The sequence below is a fragment of the Homo sapiens genome, chromosome 19 (genome assembly GCF_000001405.40).
Source record: "Homo sapiens chromosome 19, GRCh38.p14 Primary Assembly".
In the NCBI taxonomy this organism is placed as follows: Eukaryota; Metazoa; Chordata; class Mammalia; order Primates; family Hominidae; genus Homo; species Homo sapiens.
In genome coordinates, this window is record NC_000019.10 from 2,340,333 (window position 1) to 2,360,137 (window position 19,805).

At 58.8% G+C, this 19,805-nt stretch overlaps 1 protein-coding gene across 6 annotated transcripts in view, besides 1 other annotated feature; it reads left to right on the forward strand.

The window, feature by feature from the left end:
- SPPL2B (signal peptide peptidase like 2B) overlaps nucleotides 1-14,763 on the forward strand; it is a 26,412-nt gene extending 11,649 nt beyond the window's left edge. For 5 of the 6 annotated variants that reach the window (NM_152988.3, XM_011528138.3, XM_011528139.3 and 2 more), the window contains 8 exons: nucleotides 566-682; nucleotides 2,879-2,960; nucleotides 3,633-3,707; nucleotides 4,030-4,092; nucleotides 4,221-4,320; nucleotides 4,921-4,998; nucleotides 11,102-11,262; nucleotides 12,614-14,763. In NM_152988.3, coding sequence (NP_694533.1) covers nucleotides 566-682; nucleotides 2,879-2,960; nucleotides 3,633-3,707; nucleotides 4,030-4,092; nucleotides 4,221-4,320; nucleotides 4,921-4,998; nucleotides 11,102-11,262; nucleotides 12,614-12,877 — 940 coding nt within the window. In that variant the 3' untranslated portion in view covers nucleotides 12,878-14,763. Of the gene's footprint in view, nucleotides 1-565; nucleotides 683-2,878; nucleotides 2,961-3,632; nucleotides 3,708-4,029; nucleotides 4,093-4,220; nucleotides 4,321-4,920; nucleotides 4,999-11,101; nucleotides 11,326-12,613 lie in introns of all 6 variants that reach the window. The other variant, NM_001077238.2, reaches the window with a different exon arrangement.
- Nucleotides 18,252-18,463: a silencer, noted in NCBI's record as "fragment chr19:2358582-2358793 (GRCh37/hg19 assembly coordinates)". NCBI's record gives its function as "represses an EF-1alpha promoter that drives an FKBP-Casp9 reporter gene in an ReSE screen in HepG2 liver carcinoma cells {active_cell/tissue: HepG2}" and the evidence as "EXISTENCE:reporter gene assay evidence [ECO:0000049][PMID:32094911]".

Below are 19,805 nucleotides of genomic sequence, written 5' to 3' on the forward strand. Positions count from 1 at the left end.
AGTCTGGGCGAGCTATCAATGGAGCCCACCAGCAGCCAGGCGCCAGGGGTGGCGGGGGGAGGGTGCCCTTGTCCCCAGGAACCCTGCCCCAGGTCGCAGGCCGAACCCTGGGTTCCCCAGGGTTCTCCGGGGAACCCAGAAGGTTCCCCACAGCCCAGAGCTTGGCCTGGCTCTTAGGGGTAAAGGGAGCTGCTGGGGGGTCTCCAACAAAGTCAGACCTGGGTCTAGGAAGCGGGGCTAGCCCAGGGGGAGACCTTTTTGTGTTGCCGTCCCTGGGTGAGGAGGTGGGAGGTCTGGAGCAGGCAGGGCCTCGGGCGAAGGGGCGCAGCGCAGGCGAGGGGCTCTGTGGGTACAGCCCGTGGCCCCCAGCGCCTGCCCGGGTCGGGCTCTGCCCTGCCCTTGGGGTGCCTACTGTTGTCATCGTGTGGGATGTGGAGTTTAATGAGGACAACAGAGTGGGGGCTGCCACTCTGCAGGGGGTGCCTGGGCCGGTCCCAAGGGTGGTGGGCAGTGGGATGAGGCCGGGAGCTGGTGGGCTTGGCTCTGACTGCCCCGTGCCCCCCAGGATCCCCAACAACAGCCTGCCCTACTTCCACAAGCGCCCGCAGGCCCGTATGCTGCTCCTGGCGCTCTTCTGCGTGGCCGTCAGCGTGGTGTGGGGCGTCTTCCGCAACGAGGACCAGTAAGTGCTGCTTCCCCCGGGCCCCGGCGGGCAGCGGAGTCCTCGGGTGCACCAGGGCTCCTGGGGCCCTGACTCCCTGCCCTCCCTGGAGGCCGCCCCAGCCTGGAGCTGCTTCAGCACCGCGTGATGAAGAGCCCTGGCCCCGGGCTGCTCTGACAGGGCTGCGAGGGCGTTTCACCTGGGGTTTGTCCGGGTGTCATGGGAACCCTGACTGGAATCCGGGAGGAGAGGCCGGAGCCCCTGTGGCCAGGAGCCACGTCCTCCAGCCTGGATGGGACTCCTTTGTGGGGCATCGCTGCCCAGGGCCACAGTCTGTCCCCCGCTGTCCCTTTCCTGGCACCCACGTGCACGCCGCAGGTTCGAGGCCCAGGGTGTGGGCACCAGGGCACCCGGTCCTCTTGGTCATGACTGCTGCGGCTTCTGAGCAGTGGTGGAGGTGGGGCAGGCACTGCTCCCCCCACGCTCACCTCCCACGTGGCCTGGACTTGTGGCTGCCTCCCGCTGGCCGGGCCTCCCCCATGAGGCCGAGTGCCTGGTGCCGTGTTGGGAGGACAGAGCTGGCCCGTCCCCGCCCGGTCCCCACCGCTGTCGCTGATACCATCTGGCACTTCCTCCCAGCCTTCCTGAGGCAGCCAAGTACGCTTGGCTTTGGTGTGTATTGGAGCCACGGCACGTTTAACTGGCAGAAGGAAGATGTGAAAATATTTTGAATCCTTTGTACACAAAGAGAAAATGAATCTTTTCAGTTATTTCCAAGCCAGGAAACTCGCTCCGTCACATGAAGTTAGAGCAGGCCTCAGTCAGCTGGGCGCAGGGGCTCACGCCTGGGATCCCAGCATTTGGTAGGCCAAGGCAGGACGATCACTTTGCCCAGGAGTTCAAGACCAGCCTGGGCAACAAGCGAGACGCCCTATTTAAGAAATAATATAAAATCAGAAAAAATAACTGGCCGCAGTTCTCTGGGTGCTTGAAGTACGTGGCGCCTGGAATTGGCTGTACCAGCGTCTCCCATGGAGGCCTCTGCTGTTAGCAGCCGCCCCGCCCTGGAGATGTTTTTATCCCATTTTCAAATGAAGCCTTTGATGTTTGAGACGCTGAGGAACGCTGGGGAACTCGTCCAGCAAGTGACAGGCAGAGCCTGCATTGGGGGCAGGGGCCAGCGGGGAGGGGACTCTGGGGCTTCGTGGGGCCAGGAGAGAGCCGAAGTTGCGGCTGGCTGCAGGGGCCGTGGCCTTGTGCAGGAGGCAGTTCTGTGCTTTGCCCCAGGGCACCAACCGCATGGCAGCCCCACCCACTGTGGACCCAGAGGTTCTTTGAGGAAACCTGGTGTGGCACAAGTTTTAATTTAATAAACAGTTTGGGCACGGGGGCTCATGCCTGTAATCCCAGCACTTTGGGAGGTGAGGCGGGCAGATCACTTGAGGTCAGGAGTTTGAGACCAGCCTGGCCAACATGACAAAACCCCATCTCTACTAAAAATACAAAAAAATTTGCCTGGCATTGTGGTGTGTGCCTGTAATCCCAGCTACTTGGGAGGCTGAGGCAGGAGAATTGCTTGAACCTGGGAGGTGGAGGTTGCAGCGAGTCAAGATCGTGCCACCAAACTCCAGCCTGGGTGACAGAGTGAGACTCCATCTCAAAAACAAAATAAAAACAGTTTGGAGGGGTCAGTGCCCAAGCCCTCCTGCGCACGCACCCTCTGCCTGGCCCCTGCCTACAGCCTGTGACCCCTGCCTACAGCGTGACGCCCACCATCCGGGGACAGTGACTGAGGGGACGCAGCCGGCCAGGCCCGTGTCCACCATCCTGGCCCCACCATCCGGGGACAGCGACTGAGGGGACGCAGCCGGCCAGGCCCGTGTCCACCGTCCTGGCCCCACCATCTGGGGACAGCGACCGAGGAGACGCAGCCGGCCAGGCCTGTGTCCACTGTCCTGGCTGCCGAGTGGTGGGCTCCTCTACCTGCTTCCGCAGGGTGGGCCCTGGGGTGGGGCCTGTGCCGCCAGCCCTGCTGGAGTTGTAACAGCAGGGGTCCTCCCACAGGTCTGGGGTCCTCAGAGTCATCCCCTGGGCAGGTGGAAGGGCAGTGGGGCTGCGTGCTGGCTGAGAGCAAGGGCCCTGTGTGGCTCGTGGGAGGCGGCGTCCTGGGTGGTCAGCCAGCCTCTGCCCCGGCGAGGATGCTGCTTTGTCTTGCAGGTGGGCCTGGGTCCTCCAGGATGCCCTGGGCATCGCCTTCTGCCTCTACATGCTGAAGACCATCCGTCTGCCCACCTTCAAGGTGAGTGCAGGGAGGGCACGGCTGCGGGGCAGCATGGGTAGTGGGGGCCCTTCATCCTAGCCTGGCCCGTGTGGGGCTGTGGTCCTTGCAGGTCTGTGCTCCTGCTCACTGCCCTGGGGATGGCCGCCTAGGCCTGTTGTGAAGGGTGGGGCTTGAAGATTGGGTCCCAAAGCCCCCGCTGAGGCGGCCTGGGTGGGTGGCTGCGGGGCGGTTCCCGGCAGGGGCAACTCATGTCTAGATGAGGTGGTGGTGAGAGTGGTTGAATAGGGCTGGAGGAACTGGCCTCAGGTGGTACCGGGAGTGCGGGGATGTTGTCAAGCCCCAGGCGGCTGCACTCCCGTGAGGGCCCCACAGCACCCCAAGCAAGCGGCATTTGAATGCCCAGGATGGCCCTCTGTATCCCCAGAGCCGGCCCTGCGTGGCACAGGCCTCCGCCCTCCCGTCCCCGCCTTCCTGTTACGTGGAGACTCTAAAAGCCTGACTTTTGCCCGTAAATCCCTACCTGATGTTGCTTCCAAAGCTCCTCCTGCGTGGTGCGTCCCTGGCACTGGGCACGCTCTGCTCAGGTTCCTTTAAAGGCTGCCTCCCAGGAGGAGGCGCTGGGCCTCATGAGATGGGAGTGGGGGAGGCACGGGCCGGGGTGGGGGCCGCCCTCAGCCGTGGGCTTCGCAGGCCTGCACGCTGCTGCTGCTGGTGCTGTTCCTCTACGACATCTTCTTCGTGTTCATCACGCCCTTCCTGACCAAGGTAGGCGACTGCCTGTCCCTGCTCCACCCCATCACCCCGCTCCCCCGCCCCCTCGCAACCCCCGCCCCATCACCCCCCCCATCACCCCGCCCCCTCGTCCCGCCCCCTCGTCCCCCTCCACCCCACACCGTGCTCCCCTGCCCCCCACCCCATCACCCCGCTCACCTCCACCCCATCACCCTGCTCCCCTGCCCCATCACCCCCCATCACCCTGCCCCTTGCACCCCCCCATCGCATCACCCTGCCCCCTCGCCCCATCACCCCACTCCCCTGCCCCCCCACCCCATCACCACGCTCCCTCACTCAACCCCATTCTGTGCAGAGTGGGAGCAGCATCATGGTGGAGGTGGCCACTGGGCCCTCGGACTCAGCCACCCGTGAGAAGGTGTGTCTTCTGACTGCAGGGTCTCAGGTTGCCATGGGTCAAGGTGTTGCGCGGAGCGGATAGGGCTCGAGGCATCCCGCGGCCGGGTGAGGGTCCTGGAGGACATTGTCCTCTTCCCGTCTTTGCAGCTGCCCATGGTCCTGAAGGTGCCCAGGCTGAACTCCTCACCTCTGGCCCTGTGTGACCGGCCCTTCTCCCTCCTGGGTTTCGGAGACATTTTGGTGCCAGGTACTGAGGCGGGTGGAGCACACGGGTCCACGCTGTGGGGCAGGGCCCCGGGCGGCTGAGGTTTGCCTTTGGGAGTGAGTGGCCCGCACACCGTCGGCTGGAGATAAAGCCCTGAGGGTCAGAGTCGGGCAGGTTGGGGCCGTTGAGGCCTGGGTGCCTGGGCAGCGAGGGCATTGCCTGGGTGGGGTAGGGACCCCCTTTGTTCCTAGGGAGCGGGGAAGGCCCCCCGATTGCAGACAGCCTCACCCCATCCTGCTCGGGGTTGTGCAGGGGTCCTTGCTGGGGCCTGGATCCCGGGTCCCAGTGAGCTCATGTTGCTGCAGAAGGCAGAGACTGTACCCTCGCAGCCTCAGTGTCCCCAGGGTCCTGCCAGGTGTGTCTGCCTGGACTTTGTTCTCACTGTGGTCTCAGTTTACCCACTGAGAGTCATGGCAGCCCTGTCCCGAGCGAGCGTGTGGCCTGTCTGTGAAATGACAGCAGCCACCAGGCAGCGAGAGGCCCACGGCGCCCACAGGTGCTCAGGTGCCCGCCCGCTCCCAGGAAGCCCCTGCTCTGAGGCTCTGCGGGCCCGAGTAAGCCTCCGCCCTGTGCCTCCCCCAGGGCTGCTGGTGGCCTACTGCCACAGGTTTGACATCCAGGTACAGTCCTCCAGGGTATACTTCGTGGCCTGCACCATCGGTAAGTGCCTCGGTTGGGCCCGTGCTGGCCTCTCTGGCTCCAGCCCCACCCCGACTTAGCCTCTGTCCTGACCCTGACCCCTAACCCCAACCCCAACCCTAACCCTAATTCCAACTCTAACACCGTAACCATAACACCCTAACCCTAACCCCCTGGCCACTCCGGGAGCTGGGCTCGGGTGGCTGGGCCTGTGCCTGCATCCCCCTCTTTCTCATTCTCCCCGGGCCTGTGCCTGCAACCCCCTCTTTCTCATTCTTCCTGGGCCTGTGCCTCTGTCCCCATCTTCCTCATTCTTCCTGGGCCCGTGCCTGCATCCCCCTCTTTCTCATTCTCCCCGGGCCTGTGCCTGCAACCCCCTCTTTCTCATTCTTCCTGGGCCTGTGCCTCCGTCCCCGTCTTTCTCATTCTCCCTGGGCCTGTGCCTCCGTCCCCCTCTTTCTCATTCTCCCTGGGCCCGTGCCTCCATCCCCGTCTTTCTCATTCTCCCTGGGTCCGTGCCTCCGTCCCTGTCTTTCTCATTCTCCCTGGGCCTGTGCCTCCGTCCCCGTCTTTCTCATTCTCCTTTGGCCTGTGTCCACATCCTGGTCTTTCTCATTCTCCCTGGGCCTGTGCCTCCGTCCCCGTCTTTCTCATTTTCCCTGGCTTCCATTGTTCTGTTCTTTTCTTTTCCTTTTCTTTCCTGTTTTCCTCTTTTTGTCTTTTTCTTCTTTGCCTTGTCTTCTACTGTTTCTTTTGTTATGAACGTATTTACGCAAAGTGCTGTTATCTGTTGACCCACATTGTTTTGAAAAATGTCCCCCACCGCAGCTGGCCCTAAGGAAAGAAGCTGTGGTGCTTTCTGGTTCCTGGGCACAGGGCCAGGCCAGGCCTCCTCTGCCGAGCCACGCCCCCGACCCTGCCCTCCACGTGGCTCCCTAAACGGCCACTCCCAGGGCCAGGAGAGTTCAGGCCGGCCTGTCCCCTCACACCTGCCTCCTGCAGCTGCAGGTGCCCCTGGCTTTCCCCTCGCCCGATTTTACTGTCTTCATGATTATCCTTTAAAATCACGGCTGAGGCCGGGTACGGGGGCTCATGTCTGTGATCCCAGCTTTCTGGGAGGCTGAAGTGGGAGGATTGCTTGAGTCCAGGAGTTCAAGACCAGCCTGGGCAACATAGTAAGACCCTGTCTCTGCAGAAGAATGCAAAAATTAGCCGGGCATGGTGACATGTGCCTGTAGCCCCAGCTACTCTGCAGGCTGAGGTGGGAGGATCGCTTGAGCCTGGGAGTTCAAGGCTGCAGTGAGCCATGATCGTGCCACCGCACTCCAGCCTAGGCAACAGAGTGAGACCCTGTCTCGAAAAAATAATAATAAAATGAAAGAAAAAATAAAAACACAGCTGCAGAGATTTGTCTCTCCTGAAACATAACTTGTCAAGTTGTCCCTGTAATTCCTGAGACTGAAGCCGCTGAGGCTTTATAGGTGCCAGCCCTCCCTGTTTGTGTCTGTCTGCGTCTGTTGATGATGGCTGATGGACACGTGGATGGCCTAAAATGGACCAATAGGGACGCTCCCCGTGGCATGGCGTCAGAAATACAGAGATGGGTGTTAGAAAAAGTGCCGGGAGCAGTGTGCTTGCTGGACACAGCGGCTCTTTTTTTAAGAGTGTTCTAGCAAATAATTAATTTTCTCAGAGCTTTATTTTGAAATAATTTCAAATGACAGTTGCAGGATCGCTACAGAGAACTCCCGTGTGCCCCGTTCTCAGAGGGACTGGTCATTTCTTCACATTCGCTTGATTCCGTTCTCTCTCCCTCCACACACACTTACGCGCTCTCATTCACCTGATTCCGTTCTCTCTCCACACACACGCGCTCTCATTCGCCTGATTCCGTTCTCTCCCTCCACACACACACTCACGCGCTCTCATTCGCTTGATGCCGTTCTCTCTCCACACACACTCACGCACTCTCATTCGCCTGATTCCGTTCTCCTTCTCTCCACACACACTCACGCGCTCTCATTCGCCTGATTCCGTTCTCTCTCCACACACACACACTCTCATTCGCCTGATTCCGTTCTCTCTCTCCACACACGCGCTCTCATTCGCCTGATTCCGTTCTCTCTCTCCACACACACACACTCTCATTCGCCTGATTCCGTTCTCTCTCCACACACACTCACGCACTCTTATTCGCCTGATTCCGTTCTCTCCCTCCACACACACACTCACGCGCTCTCATTCGCTTGATGCCGTTCTCTCTCCACACACACTCACGCACTCTCATTCGCCTGATTCCGTTCTCTCCCTCCACACACACACTCACGCGCTCTCATTCGCTTGATGCCGTTCTCTCTCCACACACACTCACGCACTCTCATTCGCCTGATTCCGTTCTCCTTCTCTCCACACACACTCACGCGCTCTCATTCGCCTGATTCCGTTCTCTCTCCACACACACACACTCTCATTCGCCTGATTCCGTTCTCTCTCTCCACACACACGCGCTCTCATTCGCCTGATTCCGTTCTCTCTCCACACACACACACTCTCATTCGCCTGATTCCGTTCTCTCTCCACACACACTCACGCACTCTTATTCGCCTGATTCCGTTCTCTCCCTCCACACACACACTCGCGCTCTCATTCGCTTGATGCGGTTCTCTCTCCACACACACACTCACGCGCTCTCATTTGCCTGATTCCGTTCTCTCCCTCCACACACAGACTCACGCGCTCTCATTCGCTTGATTCCATTCTCTCCCTCCACACACACTCATGCGCTGTCATTCGCTTGATTCCGTTCTCTCTCCACACACACTCACGCTCTCATTCGCTTGATTCCGTTCTCTCTCCACACACACTCGCGCTCTCATTCGCTTGATTCCGTTCTCTCTCCACACACACACACTCTCATTCGCCTGATTCCGTTCTCTCTCCACACACACTCACGCACTCTTATTCGCCTGATTCCGTTCTCTCCCTCCACACACACACTCGCGCTCTCATTCGCTTGATGCGGTTCTCTCTCCACACACACACTCACGCGCTCTCATTTGCCTGATTCCGTTCTCTCCCTCCACACACAGACTCACGCGCTCTCATTCGCTTGATTCCATTCTCTCCCTCCACACACACTCATGCGCTGTCATTCGCTTGATTCCGTTCTCTCTCCACACACACTCACGCTCTCATTCGCTTGATTCCGTTCTCTCTCCCTCCACACACACTCACGTTCTCATTCGCGTGATTCCGTTCTCTCTCCACACAGACTCATGCACTCTCATTCGCCTGATTCCATTCTCTCTCTCCACACACACTCACACGCTGTCATTCGCTTGATTCCGTTCTCTCTCCACACACACTCACGCTCTCATTCGCTTGATTCCGTTCTCTCTCCACACACACTCACGCTCTCATTCGCTTGATTCCGTTCTCTCTCTCCACACACACTCACGCGCTCTCATTCGCTTGATTCCGTTCTCTCCCTCCACACACACTCGTGTTCTCATTCGCTTGATTCCATTCTCTCCCTCCACACACACTCACGCGCTGTCATTCGCTTGATTCCATTCTCTCTCTCCACACACACTCACGCGCTCTCATTCGCTTGATTCTGTTCTCTCTCTCCACACACACTCACGCGCTGTCATTCGCTTGATTCCGTTCTCTCTCCACACACACTCACGCTCTCATTCGCTTGATTCCGTTCTCTCTCTCTCCACACACACTCACGCGCTCTCATTCGCTTGATTCCGTTCTCTCCCTCCACACACACTCGCGTTCTCATTCGCTTGATTCCATTCTCTCCCTCCACACACACTCGCGTTCTCATTCGCTTGATTCCATTCTCTCCCTCCACACACACTCACGCGCTGTCATTCGCTTGATTCCGTTCTCTCTCTCCACACACACTCGTGTTCTCATTCGCCTGATTCCGTTCTCTCTCTCCACACACACTCGTGTTCTCATTCGCTTGATTCCGTTCTCTCTCCACACACACGCGCTCTCATTCGCTTGATTCCGTTCTCTCTCTCCACACACACTCGTGTTCTCATTCGCCTGATTCCGTTCTCTCTCTCCACACACACTCGTGTTCTCATTCGCTTGATTCCGTTCTCTCTCTCCACACACACGCGCTCTCATTCGCTTGATTCCGTTCTCTCTCTCCACACACACTCGTGTTCTCATTCGCCTGATTCCGTTCTCTCTCTCCACACACACTCGTGTTCTCATTCGCCTGATTCCGTTCTCTCTCTCCACACACACTCGTGTTCTCATTCGCTTGATTCCGTTCTCTCTCTCCACACACACGCGCTCTCATTCGCTTGATTCCGTTCTCTCTCTCCACACACACTCGTGTTCTCATTCGCCTGATTCCGTTCTCTCTCCACACACACTCGTGTTCTCATTCGCTTGATTCCGTTCTCTCTCTCCACACACATGCGCTCTCATTTGCTTGATTCCGTTCTCTCTCCACACACACTCACGCGCTCTCATTCGCTTGACTCTGTTCTCTCTCTCCACACACACTCACGCTCTCATTCGCTTGATTCCGTTCTCTCTCTCCACACACACTCGCGCCCTCATTCGCTTGATTCCATTCTCTCTCTCCACACACACTCACATGCTCTCATTTGCTTGATTCTGTTCTCTCTCTACACACACTCACGCGCTCTCATTTGCTTGATTCCGTTCTCTCCCTCGACACACACTCGCTCTCATTCGCTTGATTCCGTTCTCTCTCTCCACACACTCACGCGCTCTCATTCGCTTGACTCTGTTCTCTCTCTCCACACACACTCGCGCTCTCATTTGCTTGATTCCGTTCTCTCTCTCCACACACACTCACGCGCTCTCATTCGCTTGATTCCGTTCTCTCTCCACACACACTCGTGCTCTCATTGGCTTGATTCCGTTCTCTCTCCACACACACACTTGCGCTCTTATTCGCTTGATTCCGTTCTCTCTCTCCACACACTCACGCGCTGTCATTCGCTTGACTCCGTTCTCTCTCCACACACACACTCACGTGCTCTCATTCGCTTGATTCCGTTCTCTCTCTCCACACACACTCGCGTTCTCATTCGCTTGATTCCGTTCTCTCTCCACACACACACTCGCGCTCTCATTCGCTTGATTCCGTTCTCTCTCTCCACACACACTCACGCTTTCATTCGCTTGATTCCATTCTCTCTCTCTCCACACACACACTCACGCTCCCCCGTGTACTGCAGTTGGCCCTCACTAGCCATGGGTTCCTGCAGCTGTGGATTTCACTAGCTGTAGGTTGAAAATATTTGGGGAAAAGATTTGTGTTCTTATCTGTACTGAACACATGCAGATTTTTTGGGCCAGTTTTCCCGAAGCAATGCCATGCGACAGCCATTGCCTGCGGCGACATCACGTTTGCGTTTGTAGGAACCTATGGTGATTTATGGTTTGGCAGGACGCGGGTGGGTTCTAGGCAGACACTGCACCAGTTTACGTCAGGGACATGAGCAAGGGGGTCCTGGCAGCCCTCCCCTGCGGGTGCCAAGGGTGGCCATGTGTGCGTTTGTGTATTTACATGCACACGTATGTAAATCACAGGCTGCGTTCTCAGGGGACTGGGGGCACGGCCCCGGTGGGTGGACACCGTGCCCTTTGACCCCAAACATTTCACTGGGTGTCTCCTGAGAACATAGTTTATATGCCCACAGCTCAGTGTTCAAGGGTTTTCTGGTCAGGCACATGTGTCACCTTCGGCTGATTTTCTCAGAGGTTCATAGAAACTGCATCCCAGACACGTCTCGCAGCCCCCTCCGCTATCACGTCTGCCTCCCGCTGTCCTGCAGCTGCCCGGACCCTGCCCCTCCCTGTCCCTCTCCTTGCCCTGGCCCTTCCATGTCCTCGGTGACCCTGGCTCCGGTAGGGTCAGGGTGGGATTGTGGCCCAGGAGGTGCCGGAAGGATCCATGTACTTTGGGGAGCCTGTGGCCCTGCCGGCTGAACCCCCACTGTACCTCTCCCGTCCTCGCACACCCCTGCCCTCCACCAACCCCAGCCCGCTCACGTTCTTCCCAGGGAAATGGGTGGTGGCCCTGGCCTGCCTGGCTGAGGTGATGCCTCCTCTGTCCCCACAGCCTATGGCGTTGGCCTCCTTGTGACATTCGTGGCACTGGCCCTGATGCAGCGTGGCCAGCCCGCTCTCCTCTACCTGGTGCCCTGCACGCTGGTGACGAGCTGCGCTGTGGCGCTCTGGCGCCGGGAGCTGGGCGTGTTCTGGACGGGCAGCGGCTTTGCGGTGAATACCAGTTTGCTCTGACTGTGAGAAATACTCGCCTAGTGAGCCCTAACTAGAGTTAAAGTTGAGTGAGACCTCCAGCCACAGCCAGCCCTGCGGCCGCGACGGGGCTCAGGGTCCTGGTACCTTCTGCTTTGGGTGTCATGCGCGTGAGGCCCCGGTGGAAGGACGTGCGTGCAGCTCCTGTGCCGGGTGGGATGCGGGGGTGCCAGGTGGGGCCCGGGGGTGCCGGGTGGGACGCGGGGGTGCCGGGTGGGGCCCAGGGGTGCCGGGTGGGACGCGGGGGTGCCGGCTGGGACTCGGGGGTGCCATGTCCTTTCTAAAGTTGCTTCTCCCAAATAGTAGTGCCCCACCTGCGTGGGCATCGGGCATCCATCGCCTCTCCTGCCGAGAGCGAGGCGCCTGACTGGGGGTGGGGCCGCAGGGCCCTGGACGAGGGGAGCAGGCCTGCCCTGGCTGTGGAAGCCCTGTCCCCTGTCCCCCTTGGCAAGGCAGGGGGTGGTTGGCAAGGGTTAAACGTGAGATGCAGGGAGGGCTTACGCCACGTCGGTTCTGCTCTTGTGATTTTTTGTGAACAGGAGTGGGTGGGACCCCCCCTTCCAGTGTGCCGCTCAGGTGACTTCCTGGGTTCCCGGGACTCAGGCGCATTGCGCCCGAGAGCTGCCCCCGCCCCTCCGGGCAGCGCCTCTTGGAGTCCATGACCGCCCAGGGAGCAGCCCTGCGCCATAGGGCGATCCTCAGGCTGTTGGGCATGGGTGCAGCTCCTCCCATAGCTGATCTCCCTCTGGGGGAGATGCCGCGCTTCTCAGCGGTGCTGGCCGCGCATGGGGTCCTACGTCATGTTTTTGTGGAGGTTAAACCACACCCGTCCCTGCCGCACTGGTGTGATGCATTGGGTCGAGCTGTGGTTCCAGTGCCGAGCTGGGCTCATGGGTCCCACAGATGGGACCATGGCCTGAGACCAGGCCCCAGGGAGAAGTCTCCTGGGGCCAGCACCCCCACCCCAAAGGTCTCCCCATTCTGATGGGCATTTCAGAAGGTTCAGGAGAAGCCGGGGACCAGGCCCAGGGGCGAGAGACGGTAGTCCAGGCTTTTCTTTGGAGAGGCTTTGCACAGCTCCCAGCCTCTGCTGGCCTCGGATGGCCCTCCCGCGGCACCTGTGCCGATGGACAGGGTCCTGGGTGCCCGTAGGTTATGGAGCCGGCCCCCTCCTTGGGTCCAGAGCCCCTGGGGATGGCGCCTCATTTTGACCCTGCCCCCGTGGCCTGCGGGTGCTGGGTGTCCTGGCCCCTGCCAGGGTCCTCCTCTGGGTCCCTGTCTCCGCCTCACCTCTGCCTCCCTTCTCCTGTAGAAAGTCCTACCTCCATCTCCGTGGGCCCCAGCACCAGCCGACGGCCCGCAGCCTCCCAAAGACTCTGCCACGCCACTCTCCCCGCAGCCGCCCAGCGAAGAACCAGCCACATCCCCCTGGCCTGCTGAGCAGTCCCCAAAATCACGCACGTCCGAGGAGATGGGGGCTGGAGCCCCCATGCGGGAGCCTGGGAGCCCAGCTGAATCCGAGGGCCGGGACCAGGCCCAGCCGTCCCCGGTAACCCAGCCTGGCGCCTCGGCCTAGGGGAGGGGTGAGACGCTCGCTGCCGTGCCCGCCACACCAAGATGTTGGGGCTGCCTGGCGCCCACTGGAGACAGACAGACAGACGCCTGTCCCCCGGGACCGAGGCCTGTGCCGTCCCCACCCGCCCCAACATGGTGCTCATCCTTGCCGAGACCCCTGCGGTCTGTGCCCGCGCCCAGCCCAGCTGCCCCGGCTGCACGCCTGCTGCTCCCAGCTCGCCCGGCTGCCACAAGCTCTCTGCGGGTCCATCCTCCCCACCGGGGTCCGTCCTCGCAGGCCCTGCCCGGCCTCTCTGCAGACCCTCAAGCGTCGTCTGCATGAGTGAGCAGGCGTGGGTGGACTCTGGCCGCGGCCACACTTGGTGCTCACCAGCTGCTTCGGCCTTCAGGTGACCTCCCTCCCCACGGCATCCTGCTCTCCGGGTGGAAGAGCAGCTTTCTGTCTCCCAGAAGGCATCGCTTTTCCCTCTTGAGCAGATCGGAGCCCCTGGGAGGTTTGGAAGCTGCCTCCAAGCCTAGGACACGGACCAGTGGCCGGGGCGGCCTCTGGCCCCTGACGCTGGCTGAGACAGGCCCGTGGGGCGGGGTTTTGGGGCGTGAACAAGGCTGGCAGTAAGTGGACAAGCTGCTCCCCTGGCTAAGGCCCTGCCCTGCCCTCAGCCAGAGGTGCCTGGCCATGCCTGCACACTCCTCCCCATTTTAATAAATGGTCGCAACTTCTAGAAGTCCTGCTGGTGCCACCTGGTGGGGTGGACGTCTCTCAGACTGCCCTTCTGACAAGCAGGGGTGGGCGCCAGGCAGGCTGGGTCAGGCCCTCAGGGGTCCCTGGAGCCCTGGGAGGGAGGGACTGGGTCGTGGGAGGTCCTGGTAGCTCCCGGCACCCAACCTCGCTTCCCGTGTGGGCCCCGTGTTGCTTTTCTGCTGAGAGGGGCTTGGGCCTCGGTTCTCCCTGTGGCAGCGGCATTGGTGCCTGGGTTCTTAACCCTCTGGACCCAGCAGCTAGGAGCTTCTGGAACCCACGAGGACATCTGCCACTGGCATGGTCTACTCACTGATGGGGTCCTCCTGACTCCAGGGCAGAGACGTCCGTGCGGGAACTGACCGAGGCGTGGCCCCAGGCCCCGGCATCCTCCCCTCGCTGCACGTGGTCACTTCCGAAGCAGCGCTCCCTGTGGCCGCAGAGACAGAGCCCGCACCCTGGCTGTCTGTGGTGCCTGGGCCCCAGCTCCCGCCCGCCACCCGCCCTGTTGAGTGCGGCCTCCAGACTCGAGTCCAGAATCTGTTTCTGTCAAGTCAGTCGTCCCCAGCTGCACACGGGGACTGCTGAGCGCTGCGCTCTCACGGGTCTGTTCCGGACAGAGGGTGGCAGGGGTGAGCCCTGATCCCTTACAAAAAATACCAGCTTCCCAGGGAGTAATGGCGCCTTCACTGAAGCCATTTTGTACATGGGGACGGGGTGGGGACGTCTCTTTTTTGGTGTTGGACGTTTGACCAGTGGGGAGGGGTTCAGAGGCGGCGGTCCTGTCCTTGGCTCCGTCTGTCCGTGTGGCCTTGCTGCCATTCCGTCTGATCATTAAACACAGCTTTTGATACATATGGCCCGGCCTCTGCCTCCGCAGTGCACGGCTTGGGGCATCTGCTCTGTGCAGGTCCCGGTGAGCAGAACTGAGAGCTGGCAGGCCGCCTGGCTGTCCTGCAGAGGACGGATTGGAATTGCCACCGCAGGGCCGGCCAGTGCTGTGAGGTGCCCAGCGTCACTCCCATGGGCTCTGTGGGCCATGTGGTCCCTGTCACGCTTCTCAGCTCTGCCACTGTTGCTGGAAAGCATCACAGACCATGTGTAAAATGGGCCAAAATACCTTTTACAAAATTAAAATAGAGATGGGGTCTTGCAGTGTTGCTGAGGCTGATCTCGAACTGCTGAGCTCAGACAATCCTCCTGTCTCGGCCTCCCAAAGCGCTGCAATTACAGGCACGAGCCACCACGCCCATCCCTCAAGTAATTTTCTCGCCAGACCCTGAAATTGGAATTGTATAGCATCCTCACGTCTCAAAAGAGTTTATTATTATTTTTTTCTCTTTAAAAATGCAAAGACCTGTCTTAGCCGCTTTGGGACAAGGTTTGGTTTCCAGCTGCTGCTGGCTGGCGCTGGGCCTGTGGGCACGTGGGTGATGGATGCGGGTTTGTGTGCGGGCCGAGAGGCCAGTGAGTCCTGAGCATCTGCCAGGCATCAGGGGCTGCTGTGTGTGTTGTTCTAGTCTCACAAAGTTCTCCGCTACGTTAGAGAAAGTGAGACCCAGGCTGGGCATGGTGGCTCACGCCTGTAACCCCAGTGCTTTGGGAGGCTGAGGTGGGAGGATTGCTTGAGCCTGGGAGTTTAAGACCAGCCTGGGCAACGTAGCAAGACCCCATTTCTACACAAATTACCTGGGTGTGGTGGCACACACCTGTAGTCCCAGCTGTTCAGGAGGCTGGGGTGGGAGAATTACTTGAGCCCAGGAGGTCAAGGCTGCAGTGAACTGTGATCGCACCACTGCACTCCAGCCTGGGTAACAGAGCGAGACCTTGTCTCCAAAAAAAAAAAAGGCCACCAGCAAGCCTCTGAGGCCACATGGCTGTGAGGGATCAGAGACATGGATTCCTCCAGGCCCTGAGCCAAACCACGACTGCCTGGCAGCGTGACGCCCTTGGCCTTAATGTGGAACAGGGTGAGGACGCAGCGGGAGATGGAGGCTCAGGCCTTACCACTCACAGCAAACCTGAATTCAAACCCACTGGGGAAGGGACGGCTTAATCACGGAAAGCGAATTCCAGAATACTTGAAGTCACACTTAGGTTTCGGTTTTTTAACTTGAGCAGTTCCTCGATACGCTCCAGAAGGAGCACCCCCAATTGCCTTTCCACGGGGGAGCTCACTGCTCGGAGGCCACTCGGCGCTGGCTCTGAACACCTCCCCTGTGTGCCTCTAGTGGTGATTTGTCCTGTCCAGGAAAAGAAAAAGTCGCTATGTCATTAGCTCCGGTGGACCTGAGCCTCAGGGCTGAAAGTTACAGTCAGGACTCAGCGCACAGAGCCCTGGGCTCACACCACGTCCACCTGTGACCACCTGCGGTCGTGGGCAAGTCCCTCTGCCTCCAACTCCCTGTCCTCTGGAAAGAGGGTTAGTAATGTACCTACTGCAAGGCACGACAGCCAGGATGTCACCAAATCAGCCATCTGATTGGACGCTTAGAAGCAGTCGGGACTTTTGTGCTAGTGACACACTTGATTCAGGAAGACGGGCTCCTGCCAGGCTCAGCCGGTGCCTGAGCTCCGGGGGGTGTGCACACCTCGACTGTCCAGGTCACACACGGTCCAGGGATGTCAGGGAGAGGTAGAGCTGGGGAAATGGAAACAGGCTGCTTGTTGGCACTGGGGAGGGTATTTTGTTTCTTTTCGTGGGGAGCATCCCTCTGTCTTGCAGTTTAAGTTACAAAGTGGAGCAATATGGTAACAATAGTGATTTTCTTTCACTAAGCTGACCAGAGCTTACACATTTTTTATCCACCCACCTATCCATCCATTTATCCAACTGGCCATCCACCCATCCATCCATCCACCCACCCACCCATTTATGTAACCATCCATCCATCCGTCCGTCCGTCTGTCCATCCATCCATCCGTCCATGCATCCATCCACCCACCCACCCACCCATTTATGCAACCATCTGTCCACACATTTATCCATCTGTTCATCCACACACCCACCCATTCACCCACCTGTCTGTTCAGTTATCCATCCGTCCATACACATACCCTCCATCCACTCATTTATCCAACCATCTATCCACACACCCATCCACCCATTTATCCACCCATTCATCCACCCATTCACCTATCCACCCACTCATCCATTTATCTACCCATCCATCCACTCATTCATCTATCCACCCATCCATTTATCCAACATCCATCCACACACCCATCCATCTATCCGTCCATCCACCCGCCCACCCACCCACCCATCCACACACCTATCCATTTATCCAACCATCCATCCACCTATCCACATACCCATCCACCCAGTTATCCAACCACCCATCCACTTATCCACATATCCATCCATCCAGCCACCCATCCACACACCCATCCACCTACTTATCCACCCATCCGTCTCCATCCATTGATCCACCATCCATTTGTCCATCCATTTACCCATTCACACATCTATTCATCCATCCATCCATCCATCCATCCATCCATCCATCCATCCATCCATCCATCTACACACCCAACCATCCACTCACCCACACACCCACCCATCCACACACCCATTCATCCATCTATCCATCCATCCATCCATCCATCCATCCATCCATCCATCCATTCATCCATCCATTCAACCACCCACTCACCCATCTATCCACCCATCCACCCATCTACCCATTCATTCATCCACCCACCCACCCATTTATCCATCCATCCACCTATCCACCCACCCACCAATCCATCCATCCATCTACCTGCCCATCTAGCCATTCATCCATCTACCCACCCCTCCACTCATCCATCCATTTGCCCATCCATCCACCCATTATTTACCCCTCCACCCATCCATCCATCTGCCCACCCACCCATCCATCCATCTACCCACCCACCCATCCATCCATTTGCCCTTCCATTCAACCATCCATCCACCCACCTTCCACCCACCCACCCACTCATCCATTTACCCATCTATCCACCTGTCTACTCACCCACCCATCCATCCATCCATCCACCCATCCACTCATCCATTCATCCACCCACTCACCCACCCATCCACACACACACCCATCTATCCATTTATCCACACACACACCCATCTATCCATTTATCCACACACACACCCATCTATCCATTCACCCATTTACCGTCCGTCTGTCCATCCATCCATCCATCCCTCCATCCACCCAACCACCCATCCACCCATCCACACACACTCATCCACCCACCACTCTTCACTGCTGTGTGCCAGGTCCTCTACTAAGCACCCCGTCTGGCCCAGGCAGAGAGCTGCTATAGCTGCACGAGGAACCGGGACTCAGTGTTTGGGGCCAGGTGGGAAGTCATCAGAAGGTGAGAGGGTGGAGTTCTGGAAAGAGTCCACCAATGGCCCTGAGGAAGAGAGGAGGGGGTTCCCATGGGGTCACAGGCTCTTCTCCACACGGCTCAGAGCAGGTTAGAAATGCCTCTTGGGAACCAACCGCAGCCTGCAGCCTGACAGGAGGGTGGGCAGAAGAATGCAGCAATAGGAGGCCCTGGGTGTGGAGCCCCAGCTTGAATCCCAGGAGCTGGATGACTGGCTCTCAGGGCTGTAGCCACTTCTTCTGCTTAAAAGGAGGTGACAGCTACTTTTGTGAGGCCATCATGAGAACCTAGGGGAGTCCCTGCCGAGTGCCGGGCACACAGCACATACTCAGTAGACTGGACCATTCTGCGGGCGACTGGGGAAACGTGGACCCAGGAGCTGGATCCTCCAGGACTGCTCTCCCTCCAGCACCAGGCGTGGCTCCCCGGGACTTGCGGCACTTCTCAAAAGCAAATCACCAACAAAGACGCTCTGCCAAAGGTAATAAAATGGGGCTGGTCTCTAAAGGCAGTTCCAAAAAAAATTTCCGCAAAGTCTCTTGAGATAAGAGAGGAGACAGTGGTTCTAACGAAGTGCACCGTCTCCTTCGACGGCACGGAGGAACGTGAACAACCTGGTGACCTAAGCAGGAGGGGCGGCCAGCGTGGCAGCGGGTGGCGCGTCAAAACTGAGGCCACCCAGTCTGACCATGAGGGAGAAAAGCACCAGACAAACCCACTTGAGGCGTGTCCTGCAAAACACCTGACCTGCCTTCCCCAGGAGCGGGCAGGGTGTCAGAAATAGGAATGTCTGGGAAACTGCGACAGCCCAGAGAGATCCGAGGAGGCGTGACGCCTAAATGCCACGTGGGATCTCGGGTGGGGCCCTGAGCAGGAAAGGGCATTGGGGGAAACTGAGGAAACTGGAATCAAGTGTGGACTTCACAGTCGTGCATCAATAGTTGTTCATTGGTTGTGACAAATGTATCACACTGGCCTGGATGCCAGTAACAGGGGACCCGGGATGTGGCGCACAGGGGAGTTCTGAACTGTCTTTGCACATTTTGTGGGAATCTAAAACTCTTCTAAAACGTTTAGGCTGGGCACGTTGCTGACTCCTGTAATCCCAGCGCTTTGGGAGGTCGAGGTGGGAGGATGGCTTGAGCCCAGGAGTTCGAGACCAGCCTGGGCAACATGGCAAGACCCCATCTCTATTTTTTTAAAAAATTAAAAATTTATATTAAAAATACTGTAGTTCCTTCCCGGGCAACATGGTGAGACCCCCATCTCTACTAAAAATACAAAAATTAGCCTGGTGTGGTGGCAGGCGGCTGTAGTCTCAGCTACTCCAGACTCTGAGGTGGGAGGATCACCTGAGCCCGGGAGGTCAAGGCTGCAGTGAGCTAAGATCGCGCCACTGCAATCCAGCCTGGGCGACAGAGAATGAGACCCTGTCTCAAAACACACACACACACACACACACACACACACACACAAAATGGTTACACCAGTGCCCTAGAAAACGCCCTCAGCACCTCGCCCCCAGGGCTGTCCTGGGCACACCCCTCCCTGCGCCCTGTCCTGAGTCACCTGCCCAGGTGGGCCCACCTGCCCACAGCGCCCACTCTGCGGGCAACCCCCACCCCATGGCTCCCAGCTGCGAAGCCCACTCCCATCCCTGGCTACCCCCAACCCCTCCCCATCTCCATCGTCTTCCACTCTGGGTTGGCTCCCGCCAGGGTTGGGAATCCAGGGTGGAGGTGGCAGAGCCCTGGGACCCCTGTCCTCCGGAGACTCCAAGCCTGGGCGGCACCCCCGGCCCGGAGCAGGAGGTACTGGG